The sequence below is a fragment of the Homo sapiens genome, chromosome X (genome assembly GCF_000001405.40).
Source record: "Homo sapiens chromosome X, GRCh38.p14 Primary Assembly".
Lineage (NCBI taxonomy): Eukaryota > Metazoa > Chordata > Mammalia > Primates > Hominidae > Homo > Homo sapiens.
In genome coordinates, this window is record NC_000023.11 from 64,913,292 (window position 1) to 64,931,036 (window position 17,745).

General features: G+C 41.0%; 1 protein-coding gene across 5 annotated transcripts in view; it reads right to left on the reverse strand.

Moving 5' to 3' along the window:
- Positions 2,516-17,745, reverse strand: part of ZC4H2 (zinc finger C4H2-type containing) — a 118,935-nt gene continuing 103,705 nt past the window's right edge. For 2 of the 5 annotated variants that reach the window (NR_045044.2, NM_001178032.3), the window contains exons 2-5: positions 8,526-8,952; positions 6,790-6,962; positions 5,751-5,913; positions 2,516-4,605 (exon numbers count right to left, since the gene is read on the reverse strand). Coding sequence is in view for 4 of the 5 variants with exons in the window: in NM_001178032.3 (NP_001171503.1) it covers positions 4,492-4,605; positions 5,751-5,913; positions 6,790-6,962; positions 8,526-8,681 (606 nt within the window). In the remaining variant the exon portion in view is untranslated. The remainder of the gene's footprint in view (positions 4,606-5,750; positions 5,914-6,789; positions 6,963-8,525; positions 8,953-17,745) is intronic. The other 3 variants (NM_001243804.2, NM_018684.4, NM_001178033.3) reach the window with 2 other exon arrangements.

A 17,745-nucleotide genomic window follows, 5' to 3' on the forward strand; every position in this document is an offset into this window, starting at 1 on the left:
AGACACACTCACACATATGTTTATTGCAATACTCTTCACAATAGCAAGACTTTGAACCAACCCAAATGCCCATCAATGATAGACTGGATAAAGAAAATGTGGCATATATACACCATGGAATACTCTGCAGCCATAAAAAAGGATGAGTTCATGTCCTTTGCAGGGACACAGATGAAGCTGGAAACCATCATTCTCAGCAAACTAACGGAAGAACAGAAAACCAAACACCACTTGTTCTCACTCATAAGTGGGAGCTGAACAATGAGAACACATGGACACAGAGAGGAAAACATCACAAACCAGGGCCTGTCAGGGGGTGGGGGGCTAGGGGAGCTATAGCATTAGGAGAAATACCTAATGTAGATCATGGGTTGATGGGTCCAGCAAGCCACCATGGCATGTGTATTCCTATGTAACAAACCTGCATGTTCTGCACATGTGCCCCAGAACTTAAAGTATATATATATAAATAAATAAAGGCAGCCAACTCTGGCACAAAACATGCATACAATTAATCCCTGCTGTGTGCAGCATATAGAGAATGCTACAGCCTAAGTGATTCCCAGATTGGAAGGCCTAGGTTCTAGTTATGGCTTTGCTCATAACTTGCTATGTAATCTTTATTGGGCAAGTTGGTTCCCTTATCCTCATCTGTAAAATGTGTATGTTAATAATACATTCTTTACCAACAGAACAAGGTGAGCATGAAATGGAAATGTTGAAGAAAGTGCTTTCAATGTAAAGCAAATATAAAGGATACCTTGTCTTACTTCTGTTACTCTTCTTACTCACCCTCCTCTTCCTTCTTCTCTCTCTCTCTCCCAAGCCCCTTGTCTTCTTTTTCACTATATTTTTGATCCTTTTCTTCCTTTCTTTATTCTCCATTAACCAGTCTTGGGTTCACCTGCAGCACTGCACTTAGGCAAAGGAAACACAGATTTTCGAGGTTGACAGACTTGAGTCTGACCTGGCTTTGCCCCTTCCTACTTGTTTGTTAAGCAACAACTTTACCTTTTTTGAGCCACAGTTATATCACCTGTAAAAAGGGATGCATATTACATTGGTACCAAAGTAAATGTGGTGTCTACCATTGAAAGTAGTGGCAAAAACCACAACTTTTGCATCAATCTAATAACACCTTCCTTAAAATACTGTTGTCAGAAAATGTGGTAGATTGTCTGTAAATATGGCTGGCAACAATTCCTCCCATCTCTGACATGCATGCAGCTCCTCCCCTCAAGACATGGAGTATATATATTTCCCTTACCCTTTAAACCTGAGCTGGCCCTGTGACTCACTTTGACCAATAGAGTGCAGAGGCAGTATTGCTATGTGACTTCTGGTTTTATGCCACAAAAGGCCTTGCTGTTTATGTGTGTTATATGTGTCCATTTTTACAGATGATAAAACTGAGGCTCAAAAAGGTAAAGTAATTGCCCAGCAAGTAGGAAGGGGCAAAGCCAGCTCAGACTCAAGTCTGTCTACCTCAAAAGTCTGTGTTTCTTTTGCCTAAGTGCAGTGGAGCAGGTGAACCCAAGACTTGCTCAAGGGAGAATAAAGAATTAAGAGAAGGAACAAAAATATAATGAAAAAAATAATACAAGGGGGTTAGGAGAGACACAGAAGAAGGAAGAGAAGGGTAAGTCAGTCTGCTTTGGTTTTCACTCTCTTGGATGCCACTTGCCAGGTAAAAAAGTCTGATTATTGAAGTGAAATGCCAAATGGAGAAAGGCCCTGGAGGATAAAAGACTACAAAGGCTGGAGTTGGTATTAAGACATCCAGCCCACTCCTGTTCCAGCCACCTCAGGTGAGGTGCCAGATGAGAGTGCAGCCATCTTGGATCTTACAGCCTTAGCCAAGCTGTCTGAGGCAAAACCACATAGAACAGAAATTAGCCATTCCCAGCAAGTTCTGCTCAAACTGCAGAGTCATGAGCAAATAAATGATGGTTGTTTTAAGCCATTAAGTGTTTGTGTGGTTTGTTTCACGGCAATAGATAAATGAACCAGAAAGACTACATGAGATAGTAGTGACCCACCAAGTGGCTGGCAGGTGTAGGTGCTCAACACATGATTACTCTCTTCCCCTTCAAAAGCATCCCTAGGAAATGGCTTTCCTGGCTGTTGGTGCTCAGAGTTCAAAACCTGTTACCATCACTACAACATAATTGACAGACCTGACCTCCATTGTGCCAAGGATGCAGAGCTATGGCCATGCCTCCTGTACTTTACAGGGACTCACTAAGGCCTATACAGGTTAAGGTGTACTCCAAGTTGCACAGATGACTGTCCTCCCTTTGCCCAGAGTGAGCCTGAGCCACTTCAAAAGCACGTCTGTAGCTATACAAAACCTGGGGTGATATCAGGGAAGATGAGTAGTATAATTTTTGACTAGTGTTCCAATCTACCTAAACCCAGAGGCACAGTGAATAAAAGGATGTTAATACTTATGAGTGCTTACTATGTGCCTCACATTGTTCACAATCCCATGAAATAAGTGCTAATATTTTCCCCATTTTCCAGATGAGGACACTGAGGCACAGAGAGGTTTTATTTAGCTGTTGAATTCCCTGACAAGCACAGAGACAGATTAGTGTACAGGATATTATTTAGAGAGCCCTTGGCCTTTATATCCCTGAATCAGTCATTTGACACCCAGTTCTTGATTTCAGTTCCAAAGTTATTTCAACCACTCTCATCATCAAGCCATTCTGAAAGGGAGAAAGGTTTTCTTAAAAATGATCATGGAGAAGAAGTAGAAAAAAATGAGCTCTGGAGTTGGACAAAGCTGGCTCCAAATCCTGCAATTTCCTCTTACTAGCTGTTTAACTCTGAAAAAGCTTTTAAGTTTTTGGAGGTTCAGTATCCCTTTTTTTTTAAAATGGTGATAAGAATACTTAGCTTGTAAGGTATTTTGGAAGTCAAATACAATCATTTATATTAAGCAACTTGCATAGGTACCTGGCACAGAGTAGGTGCTAAATAAATGGAAATTATTGTGATAATTAGGTAAATTATTGTCCTTGGTGCCTGGCTTTCTCATTTGTAAGGTGGAATGAATAAGAGCAAACAAGAGCTACCCAGAAAGGTAAATGACATTACATCTTTTGTATTATCCAATACACAGTAGATACTCAGAATTTACTCCAATGAATGCATGTTAAAAGGATTTGTACAGACACAACACTCTTACTTTCAAAGAGCAGAGGAACATTTTATATAGTGAACACATACACACTGTGGCAATGTAAAACTACTTAAGGAAGGAAAAATATCCCCCTCCCCAGCCAGGTACTGAGACCTGGGGCTAAAATTTTTTGTCAGTCAGCCCCCATCCCCATCCCTTATCTTCGAGTGACCTTACCAGGAAACCTGGCTTTGGTGGAAAGGAGAGCTGTGGGGCTTGGGGAGCCTGATGCCTTTTCTTTTGGGAGGAAAGGCCACCTGCACAATCCACAGGACAGGAGTGGCCAGCAGCTATCCTGAGCTGAGGCTCCAGAAGAGTTCAGATCCAAGAGAGCAAGGGATGAATGGAAGGAAAGTCCCACCCACCTTCATGTGTAAAGTGATTGGCATTTACTCAAATCTAAATCTACTCCTCTCCTCCCTGCAATATACCATTGAGCATGTGCCAGAGTAATGGTTCTGAACAAAAGCCAACACAGATGTCAGCCTGGGGGCACTCTCAGCCTAAGGAAGCCCCTACAGCCGAGCCCTCAGCCCTAATGACTTAGGCAGTAGGTTAGGCAGGAGATGTAGAGTTGGTCTGGCTCACTGATTTCACTGTGGAAATCTTCTACTAGAATTTGCAAAGACTAGATATTGGGGAAAGGTTCATTGATCTTAAGATCCCAAGACACACAGCCTAGTACCTAAGAATTTTAGTATATGTGGGAGACAGAAGTGGAGAAAGCTAAAGAATTACAGCCATGCCTCCCAAATGATTATGAAAAGGAGGGCTTGTCCAAGCTACCTCTGGGCCTTAAGGATGAGATGAGGGTAGGAGTAGGGGGATACATGCACCCAGCCTGTTGGAGAATCCAACATGAAGACTATTGTCCCTTGAGAACCTAAGGCAAAAGTACAAGGAGGGGAAATACTGGGTCCTTTACCTGAAACAAGATATGGGCCTCCCCTGCCCCTCAGACCCTACAGCTCCTTAGGCTCCAGGCCTCAGGCACAAGAGATAGAGAATCATATCTGAGCCTTTTGCCCTTCCCTTAGCTCCAAACAAGGGCAGGGGTTGAAATGTGAGTGGGAGAGAAGGGATCATCAGACACACTGTTTAGCACCTGAACCACATCTCTTCCTAAACCAGAAATCCCAAGAGCAGAAAGAAATAGGAGCAAAGTGAGAGAGGGGTTGTGCTTCCATCACATTAAATAGGAGACTTCGTGGGGTTGGGCAAGGGTTGTTTCACATCAGGACATCAATGACTCTGGTCAAGGTGAGGGGTTATAATTAGCAAAGCTTCATGTGCTCTCCCTTTCTTTATTCATCCTGCTTCCGTTTCGGCTTTTTGGGGTTCCGGGACCGACTCTTGGCCTTGCAAAGAGGGCATATAGGTGCATTCCGGTGAATTTGCTGGTGACATGACAAGCAGGCCTGGTGAGGGACACAGGAAAAAGAAAGTTAGTAGTCAGATTCTTCCAGGCAACAACTTAGACTTCTGATTCCCCAGGGGCCCAGAAAGCAAAGTGATTTCCCATCAGAAGAGAGCAATAATCAGTGAGTAGACTCAAGTATTCTTGGATGCCATGGAAGATGGGAAGGAAGGACATAACCCAGTTCAGAGAATGGTGTTGAGAAAAAGTATACAAAACTAGAAAGTAAGGCAAAATGAGAACTACACATCTTTTCGTCATTATAATGAAGCATTGTCTAACAGGCCCACTTAAGGACTATTTAATTTTCTAGAACAGGGGTCAACAAACATTTTCTGTAAAGGCCAGGACAGCAAATACTTTAGACTTTTTACATCATATAAACTTGCTGCAACTACTCAATTCTGTTTTGCATGAAAGAAGTGATAGACAATAGCTTGCATGCATGTTGTTTGCAATAGCTTGCAAACACAGACATGCATGTGGGCCAATAAAACTTTAACGAAAACAGGGAACAGATTAGATTTGACCTGTAGGCTGTAATTTGATGACCCCTGCTCTAGAAGAATGTCTCTTTGTTTGACTATTTACCAATTGATTAGGACCCAGGCTCTGTGATGTTACACTGATAAGCTGCAAATGGCTTTTGCCCAGTAGAGATGCAAATTACTTCTGTTTGGAAGAAAAAGTAACTATAAAGTTACAGTTTTATTGTCCTGTGGGATGTAAACCAGTTTTGCATCTAACTTTGCAAATTTGTTTCAGCCTTCCTCTCCTTTCTTGACTATATAGATATTTGTTCCAAATGCTCCTGGAACCAGCTTTATAATCCTGCTGGTTCCCTCATTTATGATACATGCTCATTACATCTTTGTGTAAGAGTCATTTCTAACTTTTAGAATTGCACTCTAGCAGGGCCTGAAAATCTCCCTGCATTCTAACACCTCTGGGAACATGGGGCAACAAAACCTGTGCTGTGTGTGTCCAACACAGCACACCCATGTCACCCCTTCCACTGTGTCACAAGCAAAGGCCATTAAAAGAAGGCCCAGCATAAATAAAGCCAAAGACCCAGAACTAGCCTTCCACGGCCCTTCCATGGGAGGATACTTTGCTTCCTCCACAACCATTACCCAGCTCACTTACCTTCATAGGTGGGGGCTGCTGCCTGAAGGTGGCCGTCTGCCGAGTATCCTGCTTCCTAGCCACTTGGAGCTGTTGGGCGGCAGCGGCTGCAGCGGCCAGGGACTCAGGGATGGGGGGCTCCTGAGGTTCTGTCTGCCATTCTGCTTTCTGCTTCTCAAAGTAACTTTGGAGATGAGAGACACTGGCTAGATCATTCTGAAAGCAATGAGAACCTTGCTCCTCTTAAAGACTCCATGCCATACAACCAAGGGTTGAGCTGTGGCTCATTCTAGAAGGTCCCCACACCTTCCCAAGCACAAGGCTATTGTCCCTGGGTACTAGGCCCAATGTCTGATGAGAAGGGTAATCCTCTTTGTCCTTAGCTCTGATAGGCCAAGAAGACCAAGAAATCTTAGGGCTAGCAAGATCCTTAAAGGGTATTCAGTCCTATCTGCTATCTCATGCTCTTTTGAGTATTCCTATTAAGTGTCCTAAGGCCTCTGGTGACATATCTCTAAGAGTAGGAAGCTCACAAACTCCACAGACACCTTGCTCTACCTTTAGGAAATGATTTCCTCTACCAGGTCAAATTCTGTCTCTCTGCAAGGCAAGCCTAGTTCTTAACTCTGAGCCAGGAGATGAAGTAAGTCCCAGGCCACTTCCTGAAGACCAGGAAAGCTCAGTCTTTTTTGTTTTTAGAGGTTTCTAGATATCGCCTTCTAGACCCTGACTTGGGAAATGATCTCTTAAGAGTTATAGACATAGTCTTGTATTGTCAATATCACACAAAGAATTTAAAAAGCCACCTAGTAGTTGTTCTAATTCATCTAGTAATTCATCCAGTTTAATAATCCTCCTTCTGTTTTAACAAGCTGGCACAGAGACTTGCCCAAGATCACACAGTGAGTAAGCCACTGAAAGGCCTGGGACTAAAACTAGGCACTCTGACTTTCAGGCTAGGCTTTGTGTATGTATACCTGCCCGTGTGTGTGTAGGTATGTAAGTATGTATGTGGGTCGGAGGGAGGGTATGTTGTAGGGACTGGGGGCAGGTAGCTTACTCCAAGGAAAGCTTCTCCTCTTCTTCACACAAGTCAGGGAGCCTCTGCAGGCCCAGAGTCATGCGCAGGGCATCCACATGTTCTTTCAGTGGCTTATACTCATCATGCAGCCTCCTTGTAGACTCTAGCAGCTTGTTTAGGTCATTCTCAGATTGTTTGATAGTGTTTTCCATCTGGAACATAGAGTGGGATAGGCACAGAGAAAAGATCCTAAGGTTCTCAGAGAGGATCTATAGCTGAGTGAATAATAGCACAAGCTCCAGAACTTGTTCAGTCTATATTCAAGTCCTTGATCTCCCATGCCCTCTCCATGTAACTCTGGTCAAGTCTCAGTTTCTTCATCGGTATAATGGTGATATTCTAGTGCTTAACTCATGCAATCTTGGTGAAGATGTAATGATAGGATTCATATAAAGCACTCAGTAAATGGGCTAAATTAATATTTACTGCTAAATAAATGGTATTGTTCAAATATAGTATCTTAGAGCTGGAATGTCCTTCAGAGCTCATTTAGTCCACCTTACTCCCATTTTATAGAAAACTGAGGCTCAAAGAGAAAAAGGGACTTTCCTGGGGAAATACTTCTTAGTATCAAATCCTGCATAAAGACTTAGGGCTTCCGCCTCCCAGGCCAGCAGTCTTTTCTCCTAGATCAGTGATTCTCAAAATGTGGCCAAGGGATCAGCAGCATCAGCATCACCTGGGAACTCAGAAATGCATATTCTTAGGTTCACCTCAGACATACAAAATCAGAAAATCAGGGGTGGAGTCTAGCAATATGTGTCTTAGGCTCTCAAAGTGGCTTTGATGCATGCTCAAGTTTGAGATCCACTGGCTTATATTCTTAGCCCTTCTGGCAAATATCTTCCTCATTTAACTGGCCCTGTATCATTGGTTAGCTGGCAGCCAAACTGTCAACACTTTATGAGATCTAGAATTCTGCGATCTCTAACACAGAAAATCCCAATTGCTTACTGTCCAAACCTCATTCATATTTCCTTTATGATCCTAGGTCTGACAACATCAGAAAATGAGTATTGCCACAGAAATGAGTTTTCCAGAAATATAAACTTAGTTCCTTTGAAAGTAAATTTTAAAAATATATTCTTCATGGTTATGGGTGATAAGGGTTTGAAAAGACCTTACTGGTCAGCACTGCCAACCTCCTTCCTTGTGAAGGAATCATCAGTACAGTAGCTCATACAAGTGTCCATTAAGATGCTGCTTGAATAATTCCAAAGAGGGGAGCTTACCACCTTAGCAGACAGTTCATATTCTGTGTTCCAAGAGTTTCCAAAGGATATATCAATGAGGAAGCTCCACTTTGGTAGCAGGCAGAAATGATTTGTTTGGTCTGACTGAAAGCTTGGAGTGCTTTAAACTACATTCCAGAGGCAGCTGCCTGCTCTGCTTTTCCCCAAGGCTAGCTCTCAACTCCCAGAATCCCAGAATGAGAGCACATCAAATCAGTACATTTAGAGGGTACTGAGTCCCCCTTATAGTGCAGAGAGGGAAAATGAGGCCCAGAGAGAAGGGACTTGTCCAGTGATATATAGTCAGTTAGTGACAGAGCCAGGGCTGGATCTCAGAACTCCTGAATTCTTCTGCTCTACCACAGCCTGCACTGATGCCTGCTCCCCGAGCTAGGCCTAAGCCACATCTCAAGGAAAGGCCCTATCATTCACCACTACCTCTTTCTCAAAGGCTTTAGAGATAGGCTCCAGGCAGCCACGTACCACATTGATGTCAGCGTGGATCAGTCGGAGTTCCTCCACATGGGCCATCTTCTCCTGTAGCAGAAGGTCCATCTCCTGCTTGTATTCCTTCAGGTGCCTTTCCTCTGACTCAAGTGCCTCAAACTCAGCCTTCAAACGAGCCTTGATCTTCTCCATCTGCAGGGTCTTGTTCCTGCAATTTGCAAAAAGCAGGAAACAGGCCAGCAAAAGAAGGGAGAAAATAGAAATGGAGCCAGGACTTTTTTTCTAAGCCATCTTTACAAGCTTCCCCCTCTCCAGGCAGAGCCAACCTGAGGCCATCTCAAAAAAGAAGGCCAGGTGCAATGGCTCATGCCAGTAATCTCAGCAATTTGGAAGACAGAGGCAGGAGGATCACTTGAGCCCAGGAGTTTGAAACCAGCATGGGCAACATAGTGAGACCTTATATCTACAAAAAAAAAAAAGAAAAAGAAAAAAGAAAAAAAAAAGAAAAAGAAAAAGAAAAAGAAAGAAAGAAAGAAAGAATTAGCCACACATGGTGGTACATGCCAGTAGTCTCAACTACTCAGGAGGATAAGGCAGGAGGATTGCTTAAGCTATGATTGCACTACTGCACTCCAACCTAGGTGACAGAGCAAGACCTTGTCTCAAGAAAAAGTTAGGAGATGTTTCCCTCTAAAAGCTCAGTGGGTCTCGAATGGGGTTAATTTTGTTCCCTTATGGGGCATTTGCAAATATGGAGTGTTTTGGCTGTTAGATTGACTCAAGGAAATGTGTTACTGGCATTTAGTGGACATGGGCCAGAGATGCTAAATAGCCTCTCAATGCCCAGGAAAGTCCTGAACACAAAGAACTCCCACCCAAGAAACCAAAAATGATCTCTTGAGAAACTCTAAGTAAGCACTGTCCAATAAACTTACTACAGTGATGGAAATGTTTTGTATCTGTGCTGTCCAGTATAATAGCCACTATGCACATATGGCTACTGAGCACTTGTGATGTGGCCAGTGCTACTGAGGAACTGAGTTTTGAATTTTATTTAATCAAACTTAAAATTTAAACAGCCACGTGTGGCTACTGGCTGTCATATTAGACAGCACAACTCTAGAGGGTGTGTTTATCAGTTCCAGAAAAGGAAGGGGAAAGGATATTATGGGTAATTTCTTTCTTAGAAAAAGAAAAACCTGGTTTTGGTCATTAAATCCCAATTGTATACCGTGTGGCTCAGGAATCCTATACTTGGGAATATATTTTAAGGAGGTAATTCAAGGAAGCAAAAAGTTAATACACAGAGGTGTACTTTCTGGGCTTTCAGCAAAATTAGGATATTTGACAGCCACTGAAGACTTGTGACATAGAAAATGTTGAAGATAAGATACTCGCTGAAAAAGTGTACACACTAAGATTACAATTTCAAAACATACATGGATGTGACTAAATAAGAAAAAGATTTGGAAGAAACACAGTTTCAAGGGCCTTTAATAACATAATTTGAAGCCTGCCTCTGGGAAAGGGCTACAAAGTTTTGAAAGGGGTACCCTCTAAGGCATGTTGTTGTCTTCCCACTGGCTCCCTACCATGCTTCTCAGGATCTGCCTAGCCATTATCCCCTTACTCAGATTTGTAGTCTCCTTTCTTCTCCCTCAGTAGCTGATCTTCCCCTCTGCCCCAGTCTATCCTATGGGTGATCCAACTCCACACACTGGACTCTGGCTTCTGCCATCAGCCTGCTTGTCTTCAGTCTCTCTTTTCTTGACATTGCCTGTGCCTCTTGCCTCAAGAGGTAGCCTTCAATGGCACAGAACTACAGAAAGAACTGTTAGGTGGGTAGGATGGTGGGAGAAGTTTCTCTTTCTATACTAAGAAAACATCTTTTCATGTTATTGTATTTTTTTTTTTTTTGTAACCTTAGAAATGGGTTAAAAGGTGGGTGTTATCCCATTTGTAGAGAAGGGAATTGAGTGAGGTTCAGGGTGGTAACTTGCCCAGTACCACAGAGCTAGTAAATTGGATGTTGGGATTTGAACCAGGGCTCTCTAACACCAAAGCCTACATACCATCCATACCATCCACTACTCTATATTGCCTTTGAACAGGGTTACCAGGCTGAAGGGCATAAAAACATCAAGGGTTCTTGTTATAGCTCATCAACTGTCTTGCAGAGGGAAGATACTGATTTGTATTGGTTAATTACTTATTTGCTTATATCCCCATCTATCTAGACTTCTATTCTCCTCCTTTTCTAGGTTACGTGAAGATAAACCTGAACTTTGCCTGCTCCTGTAACCATTTTACCGATGGGAAAACTAAGATTCAGAGTAGTATAGTGTCTCACCCTAAGTGTCATACAACCAGTTAGGGCAGTGCTGGGCCAAGAACCTATTTCTGCAGACAAAGTCATATCATAAAAGAAGCATGCGCTTTAGACTCAGACTTCAATTATAAATCCTGGTTCTGCCTCTGATTAACTATTTGCTTTTGGACAATAATAACAACTGTATTTTAACTATATTTATTGAGCACTTACTATGTATTAATTATAGAGGGTTTCAATATATATTCAGTCAATAATTATTTATTGAATACTTATCATGTGCCAGGCATTCATTGTACTAGGTACTAGGGATAGAGCAGAGAACAAGACAGTATATAGACAGCAAGTTTCATCTAATGAAGAAAATCGATCCTGAACACAAGGTTGTATGTAAAATCATATTAGTGGTAGGGAGGAGATGCAGAATGTGATAGAAGGATACAACAAAGGGACCTAACATAGTCTGAGGGACACTATAGGGTAAAGGGGACAGTCAGAGGAGGCTTCCCTGAGAACTGAGGATGTGAAATCTAAGCTGAGACCTGAAGAATCAATAGGAGTTCGCTGGTGAGTGCAGGTGGGCACACAGGAGAACAGTCCAGACAAAAAGAATAGCATGAGTAATGGCCCCACAGAAGAAGAATATGGCACATTAAAGGAACTGAGTGAAGAGCAGTGTGGCTGGAGCACCTACTGCAAGAGGGAGAGGGGCCTAGATAAAACTAGGGAGGTTGACAGGCCCTAAAACATAGCTTGGAGAATGGGACGAGTTGGGACTTTTATCCTCAGTGGAAGGGGAATTTTATAATTTTAAGCACCGGAAGAGTGACGTTATCTGATCATCTCACTTCACTTCCCTCAGCCTTGGCTTCCTCATCAGTAACACAGGAATAATAATAGCATCTACTTTACACATTATGTGGTGAGGATTAAATGAGCTAAGACATGTAAAGTCACCAAGCAGAGTATGTGGCACATGGTGGGCAGTCAACAAATGATAGGGTCCTTCTTTCTCCACTCTGCCCAACTCTTCCACCATGGATATCTCCTTCACCAGAGTGGTTTCCACTACAGCAAATAGGGTTTGTGTGTGTGCACATGCATGAGTGGCCAGGTATATTGCTGGTTACTGAGATTAAAATAATAATCATTAGTGGGAGAATGGGAAGGGAATAAAGGTTGAAAAATTACCTATTGGGTACAATGTTCACTATTTGGGTGATGGGTACACTAGAAGCCCAAACCTCAATATTATGCAACATATTCATATAACAAATGTACACATGTAGTCCCTGAATCTAAAATTAAAACATATATTAGCTAAAGCCACATAAAAATGTCAACATAAATAACAGCATTTTATGAAGCTGACCCAAGCCTTCCCAATTTGTAATTAATTCGATTAAGATGAAAGTAACTACCACTAACTGAAATCAGGGGTAAGAGGGTATCTCCCATTGCCATTTAATAGAAATCAGCATAGTGCAGCTAGCCCTGCTTGGATGAGTCCCTTTTATGTAATCCTCCCTCCTCCCTCCATGCCTACTTCTGTTTACAGAAACCCATGTTATTGGGCAAGAGACATTAATGCCAAAATAAACCAAAGATTTTTCACCTCATGTGTCCAGGGTCACAGTTAAGTGCTGACTTGACATGGAAAATCAAAGGCACAAAGCCTTCCTCAAAGCACCAGTGGCATTTCCTCTCTCTGGGGTGAAGGGCTGCCACCAGCAAGATGGCAGCTTAATCCTTTGGGTACAAGGTACATAGCCACAATGTCTGCCTCCATCCAAGGTCTTTGGGAGCCTTTGTCTATTGCCTGCTGTGGCAAGAAATACCAAGGACCAAGACCCTGACTAAAGGGCAGAAGGGCCAAAACTCCTTGTTAGGAGAGGGAAATATGTTTACGAAGATAGGTTTCAGAAAGAGCCTCTATTTACTATTTGTAAAGTCAGTTTCTCTGAGGGAAGCCTGGTCCTTGCTTTAGTGGAGGGACAACAATGTCACTGCAGGCTTTGATGGTGCCATTAATATCTTTCAATAGTGGTGCATCAAGTGCAGGGCAGTAACAACAGTCTACCCTGGGGTGAAGACAATAAGGGGGTATGCTGTGTGTAGAAAATTAAAATATAAAAATAAAACCAACTAAAGTTGGTCTACTCTTTATTACCACCATGCAATGGCAATCTCAAACAATGTCTATTAAAGGACATCTAGACTCACTCTAATTTTTGGTAATTATGAATAAAGCCACTATGAATATCCATGTACAAGTTTTATGGTAACCATAAGTTTTCATCCAAGAGTACAATTGCTGGGTTATATGATAATTGCACATTTAGCTTTTCAATAAACTGCCCAACTGTTCCAGAGTGTATCATTTCACATGCCCACCAGCAAAATATGAGTGATCCAGTCCCTCCACCTGGCCAACTATTTTATTTTAACTATCATAATAAATATGTAGTGATACTTCAAAGTGATCTTAATTTGCATTTCCCTAATGCCCATTGATGTTGAACACCTTTCCACATACTTATTTGCCATCCATATATCCTTTTCTATGAAATGTCTGCTCATGTCTTTGGTTCATTTTCTAACTGGATTACCATTGACCCTTGAAGAACATGGGTTTGAACTGCATAGATTCACTTGTACATGGATTTTTTTCAACAAAATATGGATCAAAAATACAGTATTCACAGGATGTAATACCTGCATATATGGAGGGCTGACTTTTTGTATGCCCAGGGCTGACTGTAAGATTGAGTATGGATATGTGCAAATTTTGGTACAGGTAGAGGCCTAGGACCAATCCCCTATATACACTGAGGGACAACCATATTTGTTTTCTCACTGTTGAGTTTTAATATTTCTTTATATATTCTAGATTTGAGTATTTCCGCAGACATGTGGCTGAAAATATTTTCTCCCACGCAGTAGCTTGCCTTTTTGTCACCTTGAAAGGGTCTTTGGAAGAGTATTTAAATTTTTTTTAAAAGTCCAATTTATCAAATTTTTCTTTCTTTTTTTTATTATTATACTTTAAGTTCTGGGACACATGTGCAGAACATGCAGGTTTGTTACATAGGTATACATATGCCATGGTGGTTTGCTGCACCGATCAACCCGTTATCTACATTAGGTATTTCTCCTAATGCTATCCCTACCCTAGCCCCCCACCCCGACAGGCCCCAGTGTGTGATGTTCCCCTCCCTGTGTCCATGTGTTCTTTTTGTTCAACTACCACTTATGAGTGAGAACATGTAGTGTTTAGTTTTCTGTTCCTGTGTTAGTTTGCTGACAATGGTGGTTTCCAGCTTCATCCATGTCCCTGCAAAGGACATAAACTCATCCATTTTTATGGCTGCATAGTATTCCAAGGTGTATAAGTGCCACGTTTTCTTTATCCAGTCTATTACTGATGGGCATTTGGGTTGGTTCCAAGTCTTTGCTATTGTGAACTGTGTTGCAATAAACATATGTGTGCATGTGTCTTTATAGTACAATGATTTATAATCCTTTGGGTATATATCCAGTAATGGAATTGCTGGGTCAAATGGTATTTCTGGTTCTAGATCCTTGAGGAATCACCACACTGTCTTCCACAATGGTTGAACTAATTTACACTTCCACCAACAGTGTAAACACATTCCTATTTCTCCACATAATCAGCATCTGTTGTTTACAGACTTTTTAATGATCACCATTCTAACTGGTGTGAGATAGTATCTCATTTTGGTTTCGATTTGGATTTCTCTAATGACCAGTGATGATGAGCTTTTTTCATATGTTTGACGGCCACTTAAGTGTCTTCTTTTGAGAAGTGTCTGTTCATATCCTTCACCCACTTTTTGATGGGGTTCTTTCTTTTATTCTTGTAAATTTGTTTAAGTTCCTTGTAGATTCTGGATATTAGACTTTTGTCAGATGGATAGATTGCAAAAATTTTTTCTGTAGTTTGCCTGTTCACTCTGATGATAGTTTTTTTCGCTATGCAGAAGCTCTTTAGTTTAATTACATCCCATTTGTCAATTTTGGCTTTTGTTGCCATTTCTTTTGGTGTTTTAGTCATGAAGTCTTTGCCCATGCCTATGTCCTGAATGGTATTGCCTAGGTTTTCTTCTAGGAATTTTATGGTTTTAGGTCTTACATTTAAGTCTGTAATCAATCTTGAGTTAATTTTTGTATAAGGTGTAAAGAAGGTGTCCTGTTTAATTTTTCTGCTTATGGCTAGCCAGTTTTCCCAACACCATTTATTAAATAGGGAATCCTTTCCACATCACTTGTTTTTGTCAGGTTTGTCAAAGATCAGATGGTTGTAGATTTGTGGCATTAAATCCAAGGACTCTGTTCTGTTCCATTGGTCTATATATCTGTTTTGGTACTAGTACCATGCTGTTTTGGTTACTGCAGACTTGTAGTATAGTATAGTGATGTTAAGCGGGTTTTTCATATGATTATTAGCCATTTCTATATCTTCTTTTGAGAATTTCCTATTCATGTCCTTTGCCTGCTTTCTCCTTCTTCTTCTTCTTCTTCTTCTTCTTCTTCTTCTTCTTCTTCTTCTTCTTCCTCCTCCTCTTCTTCTTCTCCTCCTCCTCCCCCTCCTCCTCCTCTTCTTCTTCTCCTTCTCCTTCTTCTTCTTTTCTTCTTCTTTTCTTCTTCTCTTCTTCTTCTTTTTCTTCTCCTTCTTCTTCTCCTTCTTCTTCTTCTCTTCCTCCTCCTCCTTCTCCTCCTCCTCCTTCTCCTTCTTCTCCTTCTTTTCTTCTCTTTCTCCTTCTTTTTTTTTTTTTTGAAGCACAGTCTCACTCTGTCACCCAGGCTGAGGTACAGTGACATGATCTCGGCTCACTGCAACCTCCACCTCTCAGGCTCAAGCAATTCTCATGCCTCAGCCTCCCAAATACCTGGGACCACAAGCATAAGCCACCGTGCCAGCTAATTTTTGTGTTTTCTTTTTAGTAGAGGCAGGATTTCGCCATACTGGCCAGGCTAGTCTCAAACTCCTGGCCTCCAGTGATCTGCCTTCCTTGGACTCCCAAAGTTGTGGGACTACAGGCGTGAGTCACTGCACCTGCCCCTTTGCCCACTTTTTGATGGGATTTTTTTTGTTGTTTTTGCTTATTTGTTTGAGTTCCTTGTAGATTCTGGGTATTAGTCCTTTGTCAGATGCATAGTTTGCAAATATTTTCCCCCACTCTATAGGCTGTCTGTTTACTCTGCTGATAATTTCACTGTACAGAAGATTTTTAGTTTAATTAGGTCCCATTTATTTATTTTTGTTTTAGTTGCGTTTGATTTTGGAGTCTTAGTCATGAATTCTTTGCCTAAGCCAATGTCCAGAAAAGTTTCCCAATGCTACCTTCTAGTATTTTTATAGTTTCAGTTCTTAGATTTAAGTATTTGATCCATTTTGAGTTAATTTTTGTATAAGGTGAGAGGTGAGGATCTAGTTTCATTCTTCTACATGTGGCTTGCCAGTTTTCCCAGCACCATTTATTGAATAGGGTGTCCTTTCCCCACTTTATGTTTTTGTATGCTTTGTCAATACTTACAGAAGGCCGTAAGTATTTGGCCTTATTTCTGGGTTTTCTATTGTCTTTCATTGGTCTTCATGCCTATTTTTATACCATTACCATGCTGTTTTGGTAGCTTATAGCTTTGTAGTATAATTTGATGTCGGGAAATGTGATGCTTCCAGATTTGTTCCTTTTTCTTAGTCTTGCTTTAGCCATGTGGGCTCTCTTTTGGTTCCATATGAATTTTAGATTGCTTTTTTCTTGTTCTGTAAAGAATGATGATGGTATTTTGATTAGAATTGCATTGAATCTGTGGATTACTTTGGGCAGTATGGTCATTTTCATACTATTGATTCTACCCCTCCATGAGCATGGAATATGTTGCCATTTGTTTGTGTCATCTATGATCTTTTTTAGGAGTGTTTTGTAGTTTTCCTTGCAGATATCTTTCACCTCCTTGGTTATTTCTAAATATCTTATTATTATTATTTTTGCGGCTGTTGTAAAATGGGTTGACTTCTTGATTTAATTCTCAGCTTAGTCATTGTTGGTATATAGCAGTGCTACTGATTTGTGTACATTGATGTTGTATCCTGAGACTTTACTGAATTCGTTTATCAGGCCAAGGAGCTTTTGGATTATTCTTTAGGGTATTCTAGGCATATGATCATATCATTGGCAAACAGTGACATTTTGACTTCCACTTTTCCAATTTGGATGCTCTTTACTTCTTTCTCTTGTCTGATTACACTGGCTATGACTTCCAGTACTATGTTCAATAGAAGTGGTGACAATAGGCATCCTTGTCTTGTTCCAGTTCTCACGGGGAATGTTTTCAATTTTTCCCCATTCAGTATAATGTTGCCTGTGGGTATGTCATAGATGGCTTTTATTATCTTGAGGTATGTCTCTTCTATGCCAGTTTTTGTGAGTGTTTTTATAAAAAAGGGATAATTTTATCAGATGCTTTTTCTGCATCTATTGAGCTAATCATATGATTTTTTATTTTGATTCTGTTTATGTGATGTATCACATTTATTGACTTGTGTATGTTAAACTATACCTGCATCCCTATGATAAAACTGACTTGATCATGGTGTATTATCTTTTTAATATGCTGTTGGATTTGGGTAGCTAGTATTTTGCTGAGGATTTTTGAATCTATGTTCATCAGGGTATTGGTCTGTAGCGTTTTTGGTTGTGTTCTTTCTTGGTTTGGGTATTGGGGTGACACTGGCTTCATAGAATGATTTAATGAGGATTTCTTCTTTTACTGTCTTTTGGAATGGTTTCAGTAGGATTGGTACCAATTCTTATTTGAATGTCTGATAGAATTCAGCTGTGAATCCACCTGGTTCTGAACTTATTTTGTTGGCAATTTTAAAATTACAGTTTCAATCTTGCT